The 20,871-nt window shown below is 37.1% G+C and overlaps 1 long non-coding RNA gene across 2 annotated transcripts in view; it reads right to left on the bottom strand.

The window, feature by feature from the left end:
* Positions 1 to 20,871, bottom strand: part of LOC105373220 (uncharacterized) — a 121,907-nt gene that overhangs the window by 9,432 nt on the left and 91,604 nt on the right. Inside the window, exon 4 of one of the 2 annotated variants that reach the window (XR_949308.3) lies at positions 10,041 to 10,114. This is a non-coding gene — a long non-coding RNA (uncharacterized LOC105373220). Of the gene's footprint in view, positions 1 to 10,040; positions 10,130 to 20,871 lie in introns of both variants that reach the window. The other variant, XR_949311.3, reaches the window with a different exon arrangement.

The raw sequence follows: 20,871 nt of genomic DNA, 5'->3' as shown, positions 1-20,871 counted from the left end.
TAATGCAAGATTTAACTACTGCAAATGTGAAATATCTGTGTCTCACAGCAAAGCTTTGATGGGGGCTTTTTAACCTCAGCACTACTAACATATTGCAGCAGATCATTCTTCTATATGGGGGCTGCCCATGCATTGAACTATGCTTAGCAGCGCCCTCAACCTTTACCTACCAGATGCCAGTAGCACGTCCTACCCAGTCATGGCAAATAAAAGTGTCTCCAAACATTGCTAAACGTCCTCTGGAGGTAAAATTACCCAATAGTTGAGAACCACTTAGAGGAAGGCTGTAAGTATACAGTATTAAAGTTTTAATTATTTAGCTAAATGGAAATTATTTTAATTGTAGAATCAATTTGATTTTTCAATGAATTTGTAAGTTCATGAATACCATTCCTAAATTCTGCTCTTTAATACACAAAGCCCTACAACGATGTGCCTTCTGCAATATACTCAGGCCTTGGTGAACTGTGTTTCTCAAGCAAGAAACGTAAGCAACTTTTTGGCTCCTCTCTATTCCTTAATGACAATATCCAGACAATTACATTATTCTGTTGATACTAGTTTGACTCAGTTTATTTCTCTCCCCTGGCAGAAGTATTAAAGATATGGAGACCCAGTAAGAACATTTGAATGCCCACATTTTATTGTGTTTGGGGACAAGGAAAAATGTAAACTCTGTCTTCAGTCAGTAGGGTTTGATTGCCCCAAACTTGCAGAAAAACTCATTCCCTATTCTACCATATTTCTGTAGAGAGGAGCTCTATTTCCCATAATGGGTTGAGTTATGCAACACTGCCTGGCCCCCCTCACTTCCAACTCCCAAAGTCATGTCCACTTGAAACCTATGAATGTGACCTTATATGAACTAAGGGTCTTTGAAGATAGGATTACTTTAAAGATCTTCCGATGAGATCATCCCGGAATGTGGGGTGGGTGCAGGGAAATCCAATGGCAGTTGCATTTATAAGAACAGGAGAGGACACAGACAGAGAAAAGAAAGCCATGTGACAATAGTGGGAGAGACTGGAATTATGCAGCCAGAAGCCAAGAGAACCTGGAGCCACCAGAAGCTGGAATATGCAAGGAAGAATTCTCCCCTAGAATCTCCAGAAGGAGCTCAGCCCTGCTGACATCTTGATTTTGAACTGCTGGCCTCTAGAACTTTGAGAGAATAAATTTCTGCTGCTTGAAGCCACCAAGTTTGTGATAATCTGTTAAGGCAGCATCAGAAACGTAGTTTACCAAAGGTCAGATTTTGGGGAGACTATGCGCCAGGTTTTTTTTGTTTTGTTTTTCCTAATTTACCTAGAGAGAAAGACCAGGGCATGCTCACCTCACATCCTGTATGATTTTCTGCAGTTCTTGGATAGAATGCTCTGTAAATATCTGTTAGGTCCATTTGTTCCAGAGCGTAGTTTAAATTCATAGTTTCTTTGTTGACTTTCAGTCTCGATGATCCGTCTGGTGCTGTCAGTGGTGTGTTGGAGTCCCCTGCTACTATTGTGTGGCTGTCTATCCAATTTCTGAGGTCTAGCAGTAAATGTTTTATGAATCTGGGCACTCCAGAGTTAGGTGCATATAAATTTAGGATTCTAATATCTTCTTGTTGAATTGATTCTTTTCTTATCATGCAGTGACCTTTCGTTTTTCTACTGTTGTTACTTTAAAGTGTATTTTATCTGATATAAGAATAGATATTCCTGCTTGCTTTTGGTTTCCATTTGCACAGAATATATTTTTCACCCTTTACCTTGAGTTTATATGAAACTTTACATGTTAGGTGAGTCTCTTGAAGATAGCAGGTATTTGGTTTATGATTTTTATTCATTTTGCCAATCTACATCTTTTAAGTGGAGCATTTAGGCCACTGATGTTCAACATTAATATTGAAATGTAAGGTTTTGTTCCAGTCATCACCTTGTTACCTAGGTACTTTGTTTTCTTTGTTGTGTTATTGTTTTATACGGTCTGCAAATTGTATGCTTTCAAGAGGTTCTATTCTGGTGCATATCAAACTTTTTTTCAAGATTTAGAACTCCTTTTAACATTTCTCATAGGGCTGGTCTTGTACTAACAAATTCCTTCTGCATTTTTGTTGTTGTTGTTGTTATTTCTCCTTCATTTATGAAACTTAATTGTGCTGGAATCAAAATTCTTGACTGACAGTTTTTCTGTTTAAGGAGATTAAAGGTAAGACCCCATTCCTTCTGGCTTGTAAGGTTTCTGCTGCAAAGTCTGCTCTTTGTCTGATAGGTTTTTCTTTATAGGTTACCAGAAGCTTTTGTCTCATTGCTCTTAGAATACTGTCCTTCATGTTGGCTTTAGATAGCTTGAAGATTATATGCCTTGGAAATGTCCTTTATGCAATGATTCTCCCAAGAGTTCTTTAAACTTCTTGTATTTGGATATCTAAATCTCTATCAAGGCCAGGGAAGTTTTCCTCAATTATTCCCTCAAATAACTTTTCAAATATCGTGCTTTCTTTTCTTCTTTAGGAACATCAATTATTCTTACATTCGGACATTTCAAATAATGTAATATTTCTTGGAGATTTTGCTTGTTTTTTCATTCTTTTTTCTTTATGTTTGTATTATTGGGTTAATTTGAAAGCCTTGTCTTTGAGCTCTGAAATTCTTTCTTCTACTTGGTCTAGTCTATTATTACTACTTTCCACTACATTTTGTAATTCCCTAAATGTGTCTTTCATTTCCACAAGTTCTGATTGGTTTTTCTTTAAAATATCTATCTCTTTAGGAAAGGTTTCATTCATATCCTGAATTGCTTTTTAAATTTCTTCATGTTGGTTCTCACCTTTCTCTGGCATCTCTTTAAGTAACCTAATAATAAACGTTTTGAATTCTTTATCTAGTATTTCAAAGATTTCCTCTTGGTTTGCATCTATTACTGGGGACTTAGTGTATCTTTTGGGGATATTATAGAGCCCTGTTTTGTCATATTATCAGAATTGTTTTTCTGGTTTCTTTTCATTTTGGTAGACTATTTGTTCTAAATATTCTTGCATTCATTTTTTATTTAACTGTGTTTTTTGTTTAATTTCCTTCCTTCTTGCTTAAGGATGTGATTTTAATGGTTTTAGTTTATTGTAGCCTAATTTGACTCTTGATGCGTTCAGGGGTGAAGACTCTGTATGGGTCCCTTGGTTATAGAGAGTCTTCGTATGTTGGCTTTCTCAGATGCTGGTTGTGGTAGCAATGTGCTCAGTGTGTGAGCAATTTAATGGTCTCCTCCAAGGTTGGAATGGCAGAGATCACTTGAAGATTATCTTATTACCCTGTGGTGTGCACTTATTTATTGATTATTAGTTCAGTCTTTGGGTCAGTAGGGAAGGTGTCCTTGGGTAGAGACCAGATGTGGCTAAAGCAGATGGGAAATTGCAATACCCAATGGTGGACAGAGGTCCAAGCCTTGACAGAGGTGGCTGGGGGAGCTCTCAATGAAACACACTGAAGTCTTATGAGGGGGAACGGTGGGAGTCATCTCAGCTCCCCTGCCAGCCGAGCAACAAAGTGATCTACTTCCAAGACACACTCCTGACCCAGTGCTTCAGCAATTCAGATCGGACAGGCACCTCTTTTCATTTGCAGGAATGTTGATGTTCCAATAGAAAGGAATTGTGACTCTGCCCCTTGTGCAAGCTTGAACAAAGGGTAGAGTGACAATTCCTCTCTACTTGGAACATCACTTTTGTGGACCTGCAGTCACCCTGAAATGTTCCAGAAAGGCTGTCTATAGGTGCACCCATGCTGAGATCCCATGGGAGAAACTACAGCTGTGTCTGCAGTGGTGGATAAGAGGGAAGAGAAGTCCTCTTCTCCAAGATCCCTTGAGTCCAAGCCTACCTGACTTGGGGTAGAGCTGCAGACTTTGCCACAGAGCCCAGCACTGCACCTATGCCTCTGCTGAAATAAACTTCCCAATTGTGGAAAATTCTGGGACTCAAGGCCTGCTGTCTGGATTCTTTTTTCCCCAGAGGATGTTTCTTTGATATGGTGCATTCCCCCTTCCCCTAGGAGTGAGAGTCCCTGAGAGCCAGCCTACTGTGAATGCTGCTCCTCCTCTGGATCTAGCCACACAGTGGGGCTGCCACACTCCAGGCTGGTGCTGAAGAATGTCTGCTGGGGATCCAGTGATGTGACCTGTCCTCAAGTGTCCCAGTAGTGGGTACCAGCACCAGCTCTGATAGAGGTGGTAGGGGAGTGATGTAGGCTCTGTGATATTCCTTGGTTATAACCAGCCTTAGTGTGTTGGCTTTCTCAGATGCTGATTATAGTAAAGATCTGGTCACATGGACACACTGAGGACTTCCTAGTTAGCCACAGTGCTGCAGGCAATGGTGATGGCTGAGGTTACACACAAGTTTTCTCCTTCCTGAGTGTGGTGTTATTCTACCTAGAGATGCTGTAACGGACTATGTTGGTTGGCTTCCATCCAGAAAGTGGGACTTGCAAAAGAACACCAGCTGCAGTAGCCATGGTGGGACTTGTGCTTGCCTTATGCTACCCAGAGGGGTACTCTGTTTTCTGGGGTGATGGACAGGGCCATCAATTCCCAAAAGTTTCTGTCTTTTGTGTTAAGCTACTAGGGTGGAAGGAAGGCAAAGCCGGGTGGGGTCTGGGTCAGGCAGGTCCATGCTCCGGCTCTCCATCTACAGGACAAGCAGCAGCCCGTGAGGGGATTTGGGATGGGTTATCTACTCTCACCGCTTCTATTCAAAAACAGAAAAAAACAAAAACAAAAAAAAACAAGACACCTAGGCAAGAAATAGCATGATGAATGCAATGGTACCTCACATCTCAATACTAACATTGAATGTAAATGGTCTAAATGTTCCACTTAAAAGATACAGAACTGTGGAATGGATAAGAACTCACCAACCAACTATCTGCTGCCTTCAGGGGACTCACCTAACACTTAAGGACTCACATAAATTTAAAGTAGAGGGGTGAAAAGAGGTATTTCATGCAAATGGACACCAAAAGCCAGCAAGCGTAGCTATTCTTACATCAGACAAAAGAAACTTTAAAGCAACAGCAGTTAAAAGCAACAAAGAGGGATAGTACATAATGGTAAAAGGCCTTATCCAACAGGAAAATATCACAATCGTAAACGTATATGCACCTAACACTGGAGCCCCCAGATTTATAAAACAATTACTAATAGGACCTAAGAAATGAAATAACAACACAATAATAGTGGGGGACTTCAGTAATCCACTGACAGCACTAGACAGGTTATTAAGACAGAAAGTCAACAAAGAAACAATAGATTTAAACTATACCTTGGAAAAAATGGACTTAACAGATATATACAGAACAATTCATCCAACAACCACAGAATACACATTCTATTAAACAGTGCATGGAACTTTCTCCTAGATAGACCATATGATAGCCCATAAAATGACTCTCCATAAATTTGAGAAATTTGAATTATATTAAGCACTCTCTCAGACCACAGTGGAATAAAACTAGAAATGAACTCCAAAAGGAACTTTCAAAACGATGCAAATATATGGGAATTAAATAACCTGCTCCTGAATGAGCATTCAGTCAAAAACAAGATCAAGATGGAAATTAAAAAATTCTTTGAACTGAACAATAATGACACAACCTATCCAAACCTCTGGGAGGCAGCAAAGACGGTGCTAACAGGAAAGTTCATGGCCCTAAACACCTACATCAAAAAGACTGAAAGAGCACAAACTGACATGCTAAGGTCACACTTCAAGGAACTAGAGAAATAAGAACAAACCAAACCTAAATAAACCCAGCAGAAGAAAGGAAATAACCAAGATCAGAGCAGAAGTAAATGAAATTAAAACAAAAAAAATACGACAGATAAATGAAACAAAAAGCTGGTTTTTAGAAAAGATAAATAAAATTAATAGACTATTAGCAAGATTAACCAAGAAAAGAAGAGAGAAAATCCAAATAACCTCATTAAGAAATGAAACAGTAGGTATTACAACTGACACCACTGAAATACAAAAGATCATTCAAGGCAACTATGAACACCTTTACCCACATAAATCAGAAAACCTAGAAGAGATGGATAAACTCCTGGAAAAATACAACCCTCCTAGTTTAAATTAGGAAGAATTAGGTACTCCTGAACGGATCAATAACAAGCAGGGAGATTGAAATCGTAACTTAAAAATTACCAACAAAAAAAGTCCAGTACCAGACAGATTCACAGCAGAATTCTACCAGACATTCAAAGAAGAATTGGTACCAATCCTTTTGACGCTATTCCACAAGATAGGGAAAGAAAGAACCCTCCCTAATTATTTCTATGAAGCCAGCATCACCCAAAAACCAAAACCAGGAAAGGACATAACCAAAAAAGAAAACTACAGACCAATATTCTTGATGAACCTAGATGCTAAAATCCTTAATAAAATACTAGCTAACCAAATACAACAACATATCAGAAAGATAATCCACTCTGATCAAGTGGGAAGTGGGTTTCATACCAGGGATGCAGGGATGGTTTAACATACACAAGTCAATAAATGTAATACACCACATAAACATAATTAAAAATAAAAATCACATGATCATCTCAATAGATGCAGAAAAAGCATTCAACAAAATCCAGCATCCTTTATGATTAAATCTGTCAGCAAAATCAGCATACAAGGGACACACCTCAATGTAATAAAAGCCATCTACGACAAACCCACAGCCAACATAATACCGAATAGGGAAAAGTCGAAAGCATTCCCTCTGAGAACTGGGAACAAGACAAGGATGCCCATTCTCACCACTCTTATTCAACATAGTACTGGAAGTCCTAGCCAGAGCAATTGGACAAGAGAAAGAAATAAGGGCATCCAAATCAGTGAAGAGGAAGTCAAACTGTCACTGTTTGCTGACGATATGATCGTTTACCTTGAAAACCCCAAGGACTCCTCCAGAAAACTCCTAGAACTGATTAAAAAATTCAGCAGTTTCTAAATACAAGATTAATGTACACAAATTAGTAGCTATTCTATACACCAGCAGTGACCAAATGGAGAATCAAATCAAGAACTCAACCCCTTTTACAATAGCTGCAAAAAAAAAATTAATAAAATATTTAGGAATATACCTAACCAACAAGGCTAAAGACCTCTACAAGGAAAACTACAAAACACTGCTGAAAGAAATCATAGATGACACAAACAAATGGAAACACATCCCATGCTCATAGATGGGTGGAATCAATATTGTGAAAATGACCATACTGCCAAAAGCAGTATATAAGTTCAGTGCAATCCCCATCAAAATACAGCCATCATTTTTCACAGAATTAGAAAAAAAAATTGTTAAATTCATATGAAACCAAAAAAAAAAACCCCAAATAGCCAAGGCAATACTAAGCAAAAAGAAATCTGGAGGCATCACACTACCTGATTTCAAACTATACTATAAGGCCTTTGTCACCAAAACAGCATGGTATTGGTATAAAAATAGGCATATAGACCAATGGAGCAGAATAGAGAACATAGAAATAAAGCCAAATACTTACAGCCAAGTGATCTTTGACAAAGCAAACAAAAACATGAAGTGGGGAAAGGACACCCTATTCAACAAATGGTGCTGGGATAATTGGCAAGACACTGTAGGAGAATGAAACTGGATCCCCATCTCTAACCTTATACAAAAATCAACTCAAGATGGATTAAGGACTTAAACCTAAGACCTAAAACTGTAAAAGTTCTAGAAGATAACATTGGAAAAACCCTTCTAGACATTGGCTTAGGCAAGGACTTCATGACCAAGAACCCAAAAGCAAATGCAATAAAAACAAAGATAAATAGTTGGGACTTAATTAAACTAAAGAGCTTTTGCACAGCAAAAAGAACAGTCAGCAGAGGAAACAGATCTACAGAGTGGGAGAAAATCTTCACAATCTGTACGTCTGACAAATGACTAATATCCAGAATCTACAATGAACTTAAACAAATCAGTAAGAAAAAAACAAACAATCCCATCAAAAAGTGGGCTAAGGACATGAATAGACAATTCTCAAAAGAAGATATACAAATGGCCAACAAACATATGGAAAAATAATCAACATCACTAATGATTAGGGAGATGCAAATCAAAACCACAATGTGATACCATCTCACTCCTGCAAGAACGGCCAAAATCAAAAAATCAAAAAACAGTAGATGTTGGCATGGATGTGGTGAACAGGGAACACTTCTACACTGCTGGTGGGAATGTAAACTAGTACAACCACTAAGGAAAACAGTGTGGAGATTCCTTAAAGTGCTAAAAGTAGAACTACCATTTGATCCAGCCATCCCACTACTGGGTATCTACCCAGAGAAAAAGAAGTCATTATATAAAAAAGATACTTGCAGAAGCATGTTTATAGCAGCACAATTCACAATTGCAAAATTGTGGAACCAACCCAAATGCCCATTAATCGACGAGTGGATAAAGAAACTGTGTTATATTTATATATTGGAATACTAATCAGCCATAAAAAGGAATGAATTAACAGCATTTGCATCGACCCGGATAAGATTGGATACTATTATTCTAAGTGAAGTAACTCAGGAATGGAAAACCAAACATTGTTTGTTCTCACTGATGTGTGGGTGTTGAGCTATGAGGACGCAAAGGCATAAGAATGATACAATGGACTTTGGGGACTTGGGGAGAAGGGTGGGGGGGGCGATGGATAAAAGACTAAATAATATGGTGCAGTGTATACTGCTTGGGTGATGGGTGCACCAAAATCTCACAAATCACCACTAAAGAACTTACTCATGTAACCAAATACCACCTGTACCCCAAAACATGCAAAAATAAAGAAAATAAATAAATATCAAAAAAAAGTGCATTCATAAAACAAAAAAAGCCAGAGGTATAAAAAAATGCTCATTATCATTGACCATCAGGGAAAAGCAAGTTAAAACCACATCTGTTAGAATGGGCATTAATTAAAAAATGAAATGTAACAAGGGTTGGCAATGGTATGGAGAAAAGGGAACCCTTGTATACTGTCGGTGGGAATGTAAATGAACAAAGCCATAGGATGAAGGCTCCTCAGCCAACTACAAATAGAATTACTGCACAATCCAGTAATCCTGCTACTGGGTGTTTATCCAAAGGAATATACATCAAATCAGTATGCCAAAGAGATAACTGAACTCCTGTGGTCATTGCAATGTTATTCACAATAGCTAAGATATGGATGCAACCTAGGTGTCTATCATCAAATGAATGGATAAAGAAAATGTAGCATATATACACAATGGAATACTAGTTAGCATTGGAAAGGGGGAAAACCCTGTCTTTTGGGATAACATAGATGAACCCGGAGGTGAAATAGGCCAGGCACAGAAAGACAAATACTGCATGATCTTTCTCATATGTGAAATCTAAAAAAGTTGAACTCACACAAATAGGGAGTATAATGATGGTTACCAGAGGCTGGGGGAGAAGAATCAATGAGGAAGGGGAAGATGTTTATTAAAGGGTACAAAGTTTCAGTTAGTGAGGAGGAATAAGCTTTGGTGATCTATTTTACAGAATGGTGATTACTATAAATAATAATATGCTGCATATTTCAAAATTGCTGAAAGAGTAGACTTTAAATGTTTTCACTATAAAAAAGTAATGTTTGTGAAGTGATTAATTTGTTAATTAGCCAGATTTAATCTTTCCACATTGTAAACCCATATCTAATCATCACATTATACCCCATAAATATAGCTCATTATTATTTATCATTAAAAATAAAGTTTAAAAAATTAAATAAACCACAAAAGAACAAAAAGAGAAGAACTATGAAGTAGGAATTGATGTCTAGCAGAGGCAGGCTCATAGTCATTCAAACTAGAGCTTAATTCACCTGGAAAAAATACATAAATACCTTCTGCGGAATGCTTTCTCAAGAAAAGGCATTTACTTGTAATATTTTAAAACCAAAATGCTGAAAAGGTTCATGATTCTCACTCAGAAGTTCACTCAATATCCCCTTAAACCAGGACTCCAGAGTCCTTGATAATTACAATTACTCACCATCTGAAAACACTGGCATTGAATAGTCCTAAACCAAGTTTATTCTTCCTCATTTGAGTCACAAGGAAAACAACCTAAAAAGATGGAAACTATGAAGATATCACAAATTTTTTACAATGGTAAATGAAAATCTTCTTCATATCAAAAAGTTTATGTTACATTTGTTATATACTACATATTATGAGAAAACACTATTGTCCTCACCTAATTTTGATTTCCACTTTTGGTTTCTGCATTAAAATATAAAAGCTGCTCCCCAGAGAAGTTTTCTGAAGACTATTGATGACTTATATCAAGACAATTAATTGACTAATGCTTTAGTGACTCACTAGCATTAGGAAAGAGGTAGCTAGTTTGTATTTCCTCTTGGTCCTGTGAGCCCCTCATATTCACTGTTTTTACTCTCTTCTTTCCTTCCATTATTTGTCGGATATACAGATCATGCATGGGACTCAAAATACAGATGCATCTTTACACTTCTTTCTATAAAACTAGGGCAATTTCATGCCTCAAATTTGAATGAAAATTCAAAATATAATTTCAAGATTTTTTTCACATGTAAGTTATATTACAGTTAGCAGCAATATGGAGTTGGCACAATGATAATAAGTGTGTCAATGAAAGAGATGAATTCAATGATAGGCTCTCATATTTATGATCAATTGATTTTGACAAAAATGTCAAGGTAGTTCCAGGGGCAAACTATAGCTTTTTCAATAAATAGCATTGGAACACCTTGATAACCATATAGGACAAAATAAGTATTGACCCTTATCTCCTATCATGCACAAAAAATAACTAGACATTGATCACAGACCAAACACTGAAGGTTAAAAATATGAAGCCTTGGCCAGGCATGGTGGCTTACGCCTGTAATCCCAGCACTTTGGGAGGCCAAGGCGGGCAGATCATGAGGTCAGGAGATCGAGACCATCCTGGCCAACATGGTGAAACCCTGTCTCTACTAAAAATACAAAAATTAGCTGGGTGTAGTAGTGCGCACCTGTAATCCCAGCTACTCGGGAGGTTGAGGCAGGAGAAACGCTCGAACCCATGAGGTGGAGATTGCAGTTAGAAGAGAGCACAGCAGAAATTTTATGAACACAGGTAAGCAAAATTTTCTTAGAATATAAAAAGCACTAACCATAAAAGACTTTATCAAAATTTAAAATTTCAGCTCTTCAAGACACACAATATATGGTAAATATATTCTTCCATTCCATGAATTGCCTTTTCATATATATATATGTGTGTGTGTGTGTGTGTGTATGTATATATGTACATACATATTGTAGTCAGGATTTATCATTAACTTCTAAAAATAAATAAGAAGACACAACTCAATATAATCAACAATCAAATACTTGAACAGACACTGCACAAGAGAAATTCTGAAAAGACTTCATTACTCATAGTGTAAAACCACAATGAGATATCGTGAAACATACACATATCCAGTAATTCCAATCTTAGCATTTACCCATGAAAAATGAAAACATATGCCCACAAAGAGAAACTTTATTTAAATGATCATGAACTAGAAATAACTCAAATGTCCATCAATATTTTAATGAATAAACTAACTTTGGTGTAGGTTACTTAGCAATAAAACAATGACCTATTGATGCACCCAACAACGTGGATGATGACTGGAAACATTAGAGCAAAAGAATCCAATACAAAAGAGAACATGCTTATAAAATCTATATGTATGAAGTTCTGGGATACACACAGCTAAGCTATGGAGAAAAAAACTAGAACAGTAATGACCTCTATGTATGGAGTAGAGAAACTGACTAGAAGGTGGGCATGAGAGAATCTTCTGGAATGAACAAAATGGTTTATATCTTTATTGTCAGATGGTTACAAGAGTGTACGTACAATCATTGCATGGTACTCTTAAAGTCTCTGTACTGTTGCATGAGAATTTCACATCAATTTAAGAAAAATGCAAAAATTTTGCAAAAGGTTTTATTGATTTTAGAGGTTTTGCTTTTTTTCTCTTTCAAATGAAGTGTTTATATGCACCATCCATATTTATATCTGAAAGCCAAAAATTCCTTCCTATAGTTTTTTTGTCATTACATTTTTGTTGAAAGCAATAAAAATATACTATTGTTGCATGAGATTTGACAGTACAGATGTATATTTATAGTGAAGAAAGCAAGAATACCATTGCACTTCCAAAGAGAATGGGTTACTATGGGGGACTTGTTGCTGCTCTGGCAAGGCCATTTATGGCTGCAGTGTTTGGTGCTGTCTCCAGAAACCATGGTACGTCCTTCAGAATTTTTCATCCAGAAATGGAATTGTGTCAGTGTTCTAAGAGGAGCTCATGCCCTTAGGAAGTGGCACTTGCTAATGAAACCCACTAGAGATGGTGTAAAAATCCATGTTTTATTTTGTATTATATCTGGAAAAGCTTCATACGAATACAGTTACTTATGATCATGGTGTCCAAAACAAAGGGAATTGGGTGACAGCAAAGGATGTTTTATTCAGAGATGGCTAATAAAAATAGAGATTTTAATCCTGGGAAATACAATTTAAATAAAATTATCTAGGCATGGTGGTGCATGCCTGTAGTTCCAGCTACTCTGGGGCTGAGGTGGGAGGCTCACTTGAGACCAGGAGGTCGAGGCTGCAGTGCGTCATAATCGTACCACTGCACTCCAACCTGGGTGGCAGAGCAAGACCCTGTTTCAAAAATTGCAACCCAAAAATAGAGATTATGTTCATGCCTTCTCGTTACCATACCTATCTTTTGAGCCACATATGTTTACTATGACAAAAATTTTTACACTTTTAATATTATGTACCACAAAGATTATTTTAAAAGTTTTGTCAGATTATAATTTGTTGATTTAAGCTTGATTTCATGCTAAAAAAAACAAAAGCATTAAAAAACTGCTATTTGTATGCAGTTGTATCCTGTCCACTTCACGGAACACCCCAAGCAAGAACACTGTTTGGAAAACCTGGAACACCAGAGAGTGAGAAAGGCAGAGGGAGGTGTCTATCTGTTGGTGCTTCAGAAAGGTCAATGGAAGATAAATGTCAACATTTAATTATTCATTATTTTATAAAATAGAAAATGCTCAGATTTTTATTTTAAATAGGAAAGGGAAATTTGAAGCCTTCAGATCTCTAGTGCCTGAGGGGAGCAATTAAACTTGCCTGTGCTTTGTGAGTAAGTGTGTTGCTTGAAGCAAAGCTCCCGGCATGACTGCTCTGGGAGTGTACAGGAGCGAAGAGTGTTCTCTTCTTTTACAACTTTTTTGGATTTTTTTTCTTAATATCATCTCTTGAAGGTCACAGAGACCAATATTTGATATATTTAATAGATGCATGTATGTACTTTCCAGACTGCCTGTCACTGTATTCACATGTTAAACATTGAGGTTCTCTCATGAGAAATAGACCTTCCCCTCTTACCCAGCACAGGCAACAGAAGGACTCAGAATTACTCTAGCAGAGCTATGGATTGCCTTTTAGATAAAGTCCTCATTACTGAGTTTTCTGCTATGTGTATCCATGATTTAAAGCCAACACAAAAACCCATTTTCTTATTTGGGCAATTTACCATCCAAGTTTCTCTTGTCCCCTTATATATTTGCACCAGATATACTTTACTGTAGGAAGATAATTAAAAGTAACATAATCTGAAATTCATATAAATTGAGATGTTGTCACACATTTTATCATATTGATTTTTCACTATAATATTACTGCCAAAATATCAATCATATACCTGAGAGTGACACATCAGTATTTCTTAACTTACTGATTGTAGGATTGATTGATTTAACAAATGGACTTTCCCAGTATATTTTACTGAAATATAAGTTACATCCAGTAAAATGTATGCTTTCGAGTGTAGAATTCAGTGAGTTTTGACAAATGCACCATCAAGATATTGAAAATTTCCATCACCCAAAATATTATCTCATGTCCTTTTTTAGTCAACTTTATCCCCGTTCTGTCCTCTGGAAAACACTGCATTGCTTTCTGCTTCTTCTATGCATTTGTCTCTTCCAGAAAGTCATTTAAATGAAATCATGGAATACATATGTATACTTTTTATTTGCTTGTTTCACTTAGCATGATGCATTTATTACATATGCTGGTGAGTATATCAGTCCATTTTATCACTGAGTAGTATTTTCTTGTGTGGAAATACCTAGTTCGTCTGTTCTTTTCTTTCTTTCTTTCTTTCTCTCTCTCTCTTTTCTTTCTTTCTTCTTTTTCCCTCCCTCCCACCCTCCCTTCCTCCCTTCCTTCCTTCCTTCCTTCCTTCCTTCCTTCCTTCCTTCCTTCCTTCCTTCCAACAGAAAAGGGAAATCTGAAGGGCAACATAGCAAGACCCTGTCTTAAAAAAATACATTAAAAAAATCTTTTATCCAAACATGTAGAAATAATCTTCCAAAGTTTATTTTTTGTATTTCATTTTTATGCTGTTGTTTAATTAATACCACTTCTCCTACATTTCCTATTGATGAAAAGATTCATAATGCATATATAAGGAATATGATATCATTCAGGAAGGGTAGGGAAAGGTGGCCAATTCCAAGATGCTCAATCTCTGGAAAACTGGTTCAATTGTAAGTGAAAGTTTATTTTTAGAATAAAAATCTGAAGTGACTCGAATTCAACCCACTTCCTAGTCTAATCCCACATACTTATTAATTAGGTCAGTGTCACATATTCTATTCCCCATTCTTCTCTCAACAAGAAAGGATACATTTTTTAACGGATTAAGTAAACAGATGGAAACCCATGACATCTAAAGAATGATCTTTTAATATTTTAATTTTTAAATATTTAATGCCTAAATATATTTTATAATAGAATAAATATTTATTCTACTAGTTCCTCAAGGGAAATATCAGTTTTAATATTGCAGTTCAGACAAAATTTCTATTTTCCAATGTAATATTGAGATGGCAGATTGGAAGATGGATAGATGCCTAGAGACACAGTATAATACAGAAAATTATATATGTCCATATACACATATATATGAATTTTTAAAAGCACCTACACTAGTTTCTACAAGGGGAAAGATAAAGTTACAGAACCTGAGATGAATCTTATTCAGTGCAAAACTCTAACTGGAAAGCAAAAATGTGAGAATCTTTGGAGCAGAGTTTCTCTAATATAGTTCACAACACTATTTGCTGCTTAAATTTACTCATTTAAAAATTATTTGTTAATTAACTACTAGGTATTCGACACTCTTCTATGCTATGGGAACCCAATAGTAAGCAAAATAGTCAAGTTCCAACCCTCATGGAGACCAAAAATATGGATGGATTTGAGATGTATTTTGGGAGACAAATTAAGGATTTATTGAATGATTTGATATAAGGCGTGAGGAAAGGAAAAGTAAGAGACAAACGAGATTATGAAAATGATGAGGAAAAGGTGTTGGAGGGAAGCGTCTCAAGGATTTAGACTGAAGCGTCTGGAGGAATTATATCGGACATTTTAAGTAGACAATTGTTCATTAATTGGAATCTTAGAGAAAGCATTGGAGGGAAAAATAAAATTAGGAATTGTGAAAATATAAGGTCATGCTTTACATAATGACAGGGATATGTTCTGAGAAATGCATCATTAGGCAACTTCCTATATGTTCCTATAATGTTCATTGTGTGAACATTATAGAATGTACTTACATAATCCTAGACAGTATAGGCTACTGCACACCTAGGCTACATGGTACAGCCTGTTGCTTGTAGGTTACAAGCCTGTACAGCATGTTACTGTTCTGAATACCGCAGGCAAGTATAACACAATGGTAAGTGTTTGTGTATCTAAACATAAAAAGGTACAGTAAAAAATGATATTATAATCTTATGGGACCACCATTGTATAGGGGGTCCATCACTGGCTGAAAGATTGTTATATGGTACGTGACTATATATCATATTTAAAATCATAGGATTGATGATATTACAATACAGAGAACAGCACGGGGTAAAGATTGAGCCTTGAGGAGCTGTGACATATAGAGATCAAGTAAAATGAAAACCAGCAACAGAAACCATGAAGGAACAGCAACAAAGAGAAACTGTAAGCTCTTATACTGGGTGCACATCAGAGAAGCAAGAGGGCAGAATATGGCAAGAAAAAGAGCCATCCACAGTATTGAATTCTACTTTGTATTATGCACCAACACAATATGGAGAGCAAGATGATTTTTTTGAGTGTTCCCTGCACTTTCCAGATGTTTATTTCTGGCACCAAGTGAAGCTAGGAAGACACCGTCAGTCTCTTATGTTATCTTGTACAAATCTTGTGTTATACAGGTAAAACGTTATTTTTCTCCATGGCCTCTCTTCCATTTCAAGCAAGCAGTGAGTTTTTATAATTTGTTGTTCCTATGATTTAGCCAAGGTATAAAGAAGAATCAACTTGAGGTCAGTGGCTCTGCCTGCATTTTAGAAGGGCCTAATGCTGTCAAAGACTTTTTGTTGGTTATTCTGGAGGTAGATTAGGAGCGATAGTGATGTTGTAAAGTCAGAGGCAGGAAGGTGACCTTCCCTGAATGAAACTCGCGTGGGAACAAGGGAAACAGATCAGCAAATTTCCCCCAGCATCTGGCCACCCTCTTCCCCATCCTAATCCCAGTAGTGAGGTGGCAACCCCTCAACAAGAATGCCTGTGTGACACCCTTAGGGAGGCTGTAACCTGGTACAGATGCTGTCAATCCCATCAAAGAGTTCTCTTTCCTATGGGTGGCTTTCAAGCAGAGAATTTCAAGCTGTGGTGGGGTTAAGTAGCCTTAGACAACATAACATGGCTTCTCTGGCAGCCAGTGCTATGGGTTTGAGTAATACCCTGGGAACTTAGTGAAAACCAACTATTCAGGGACAGAGTGTAGCGAAGACGACAATATGACTGAGACTGAATTTCCCTTCAACACAGAATCATCAGCTACAGATGAAGGATGAAAATCAGAAAGAAGCTGATTTTTTTTAAATAAGGAAATTATTATTTTGGGTATACACCTGCGGAAGATAAACTGACATTCTTACTTTATCTTTTTTTAAATTCAAAGAAATGATGTGTGCATGTTGTCTTGTATTTAATGCCCAATAAATGTAAGATCATTTATGGTCCTAGACTAGACCAAATTTCCTTATAGTAGAAGGAACTCCCTTCCAATATTTCTGACTTAAGTGTATGAAAAAGTCCTCATGCTTCAAAATATTTTGCTTACATCATGAGATATTTTGGGAAATAACTCTTTAAATACATAAGTGTTTCTCAAAGCTTATTCTTGCAAATCTACTCCTTACATTAAACTAAAAATTGTGACTAAAAGCCTATGTTCATGAAATGTTATTTAGTCAAATACTTTGCCATCAATGATTTATTGAATTATTTCTTCTTTCCATGCAGTAGTAGAGTGGAAGAAGGAATAATTTCAAAGCAAAGTGAATGGAGTGTGGGCATTGATATGAGACTTTAGGTAATAGAAGGAAAGCAAAGGGAACAGTAGAATAGCAGGCGTTCATTGAGGAATGGAAGAAAAGAAAGAGAGAGAAGGAGGGAAATATGACACTGAAAGGAAGATATGATATCAAATCGGGACTAAAACAAGAATACAGGTTTTCTCCTAGTTTTGTTAATTACTGCCAAATCTAAGCCTTAATAATCCTGGGATTCTCTTCCAGACCCCCAAGCTGCCTCTTCCCTATACTAAAATGATCAGAATAGGAGCTTGGATATGAAAGATAAAATAGAATGATCTTTATTAAAAACAAAATTGAAGGCATGGCAAGGTGTATTAATTCATTTTTACACTGTTGATAAAGACATAATCAAGACTGGGTAATTTATAAAGAAAAAGAAGTTTAATAGACTCAGTTCCATGTGGCTGGGGGCCCTCACCATCACGGCGGAAGGCAAAAGGCAGGCCTCACATCACAGCAGGCAAGAGAGAGAATGAGAGCCAAGCCAAAAGGGTTTCCCCTTATAAAACCATCAGATCTTGGGAGACTTACTCACTACCAAGAAAACAGTATAAGTGAAACCGGCCCCATGATTCAGTTATTTCCCACCAGGTCCCTCCCACAACACATGGGAATTATGGGCGCTACAGTTCAAGATGAGATTGGGGTGGGGACACAGCCAACCCATATTACAAGGACAGTAGGACATCTAATTAGGACAGATAGCTGTGCTAGAGCCAACAGATAGTTATTTGTTCTGCTTTTAACAGGACCTTCTAATGCCTGGCCGTGTGCTGTGTCATTTCATCCTCACGTGAGCTTTGGCAGTTATAAATGCCTACCTGGTGTTTATTTACTCTTAAGTTTCTGGGTGGTGATCCTGCGCTCCATTCTGGGTCAAAATTATTGAAGCCTATTGTGAGAAATTAATATCCTATGGCAGATCATTTTTTCACTATAAGGAATTAGAAATGACAGTTGTTTCTTATTACTTCTTTCTTCTTAGAAAAGGCACATGGAAATTTGACTACAAAAGGAAAAAAACATACCAAAAGGATTGACAACGCATTTCATCATGTCCTGTCAGTTTCTGAGATTATTCTTCAACTGTTTTCTCCTCCATAAGTGTTGCATAAATAGCTTGAGTTTAAAAATTAATGAAAATGAACAACAAAAGTAGATTGAACAAGGGTTCCTCAGATTAGACTCATTTTCCAAAAACAACCTAAAAACAACTATTGATCTGCTCAAAAAAATTACACCTTTTGTTGTTCAGAAGAGATGAAAGGAAAGAGGTGTTGGAGATTTTCCTTTGACTAAGTGTCCTTTAAGGTATAATTTTGGAAACAGTTTGCTGGAAGATAGTTTTATATATATACATATATATACACACACACACACACACATATATATATAGACACACACATACGTATTTATATATTGGCCTGAGCCATATATACAGACACATATATAGCTATCTATATAGATATATATAAACATATATATGACATAAACACTCTATACACACTATATATGTAGTTATTACTATACATATACATGTCAAAAGCATATACATATCTACTAGTGATTGCTTCTCATAACTAGGGATAGGCACCAAAATAAAAAGGAAACAAAAGAATGGAGAAATATATGAAGAAAAGGGATAGAAAATAGTTCAATTTAGAAATTAAATTGTAAAAGTCCAATGATATCTATTGGCGTTTCCAAATCCAGTGGTTTAGTGCAGTGTGCATTTCAGCCCTTAGAACACATTTCTGTACTGGTGGTTAAAAGGGAGATTTAAATGTCAGATCAACAAAGCCCTGTATTTTAGAAATGATATATTTTCTTATTGTTAACTTAGTTATTTTCTGTGCTCTGAAGTCCTATTACCTTCCTTTGAGAATAAATTTTTGGATTAAATCTTAATGGCTTTTCAGAGAAGATTGATGTGTAGGAACATACAATAGCATGAATTATCTAATGATTTTCCTCATTACTGCAGATGGATGGCTTGCTTCCTTAGTGTCTAGTTGGCTGAGACTAGCTTCCTGAAGAGTTTGAGATGAAATACAAAATAAGTGAAATCATGTACGTTTTAAAAGAAATGTTGAAAAAGTCCCGCGAGTGTGTGTGTGTGTGTGTGTACATGCGTGCATACACCCATTTCCATGTGCTTCCTAATGAATGAGTCCAGCTTTATAAAAGCCTCAGTCTTATCTCTCCTCTCCTCTCCTTTCCTCTCCTCTTCTCTCTCTTCTCTTCTTTCTCTCTTTTCTTTTCTTTGACAGTCCCCCTCTGTCACCCAGACTGGAGTGCAGTGGTGTGATCTCAGCTCACTGCAAGCTCCGCCTCCCGGGTTCACGCCATTCTCCTGCCTCAGCCTCCCAAGTAGCTGGGATTACAGGCACGCACCACCATACCTGACAAATGTTTGTGTATTTAGTAGAGACGGGATTTCGCCATGTTGGCCAGGCCGGTCTCGAACTCCTGACCTCAAGTGATCTGCCTGCCTCGGCCTCCCAAAGTGCTGAAATTACAGGCGTGAGCCATCGAGCCCAGCCCTCAATGTTTTCTAATTAATGAAACAACAACTTGAGGAACAATTAGGCAGAGAAACACAGATCAGTAAAAATGTTTCCCTCCTAGCACACATTACTAAGAGTAAACTTTGTGCCCATTTCTTTGTTCAGTTTTTCTTTGTTTGCTGGACTAGAATTAAATGCCATGGGGAGTCCTTGTTCTACTCCCTGCTGTGTCTCTAGTACCTGAAAGCCTGCCAAGCACACAAGAGAGGAGCAGAAATTCACAAATACATGAAAACATATTTTCATCAAAGCAATGAAGAAAATCTGGAAGTTAGTATAGTCTTTATTTTATTGTTTTTGCCTAAGATTTTTGTACTATTTAATTGACTTTGGTGTTTAGAACAGTTTAGGTTTACAGCAAAATTTAGAGGAAGGATAAATATTTCCCACATATCACCTGACTCCACATATGAATAGCCTTTGCTGTTAACAGTATCTCCATAAGAGATGGAGTTGGATAAGTGCATAAGTGTATAATGACACGTATCCACCATTATAGTATCATACAGAGTAGTTTCACTGCCCTAAAAATCCTGTGTGAGACCTACTTCTTCATCCGCCACCTCCACCTTGACCCCTGGCAACTAGTGATCTTTTGTTTTCTTTTGGTTTTGTTTGTTTGTTTGTTTGTGAGGGAGTCTCAACTCAACCCAGGCTGGACTGCAGTGTTGTGATCTTGGCTCACTGCAACCTCCTCCTCCTGGGTTCAAGCGATTCTCCCACTTCAGCCTCCCGAGTAGCTGGGATTACAGGCACCTGCCAACATGCCCGGCTAATTTTTTG

The sequence above is a fragment of the Homo sapiens genome, chromosome 1, assembly GCF_000001405.40.
Source record: "Homo sapiens chromosome 1, GRCh38.p14 Primary Assembly".
Lineage (NCBI taxonomy): Eukaryota > Metazoa > Chordata > Mammalia > Primates > Hominidae > Homo > Homo sapiens.
Note: the sequence above shows the minus strand (reverse complement) of the source record. Positions and strands in the feature narration are given on the sequence as shown.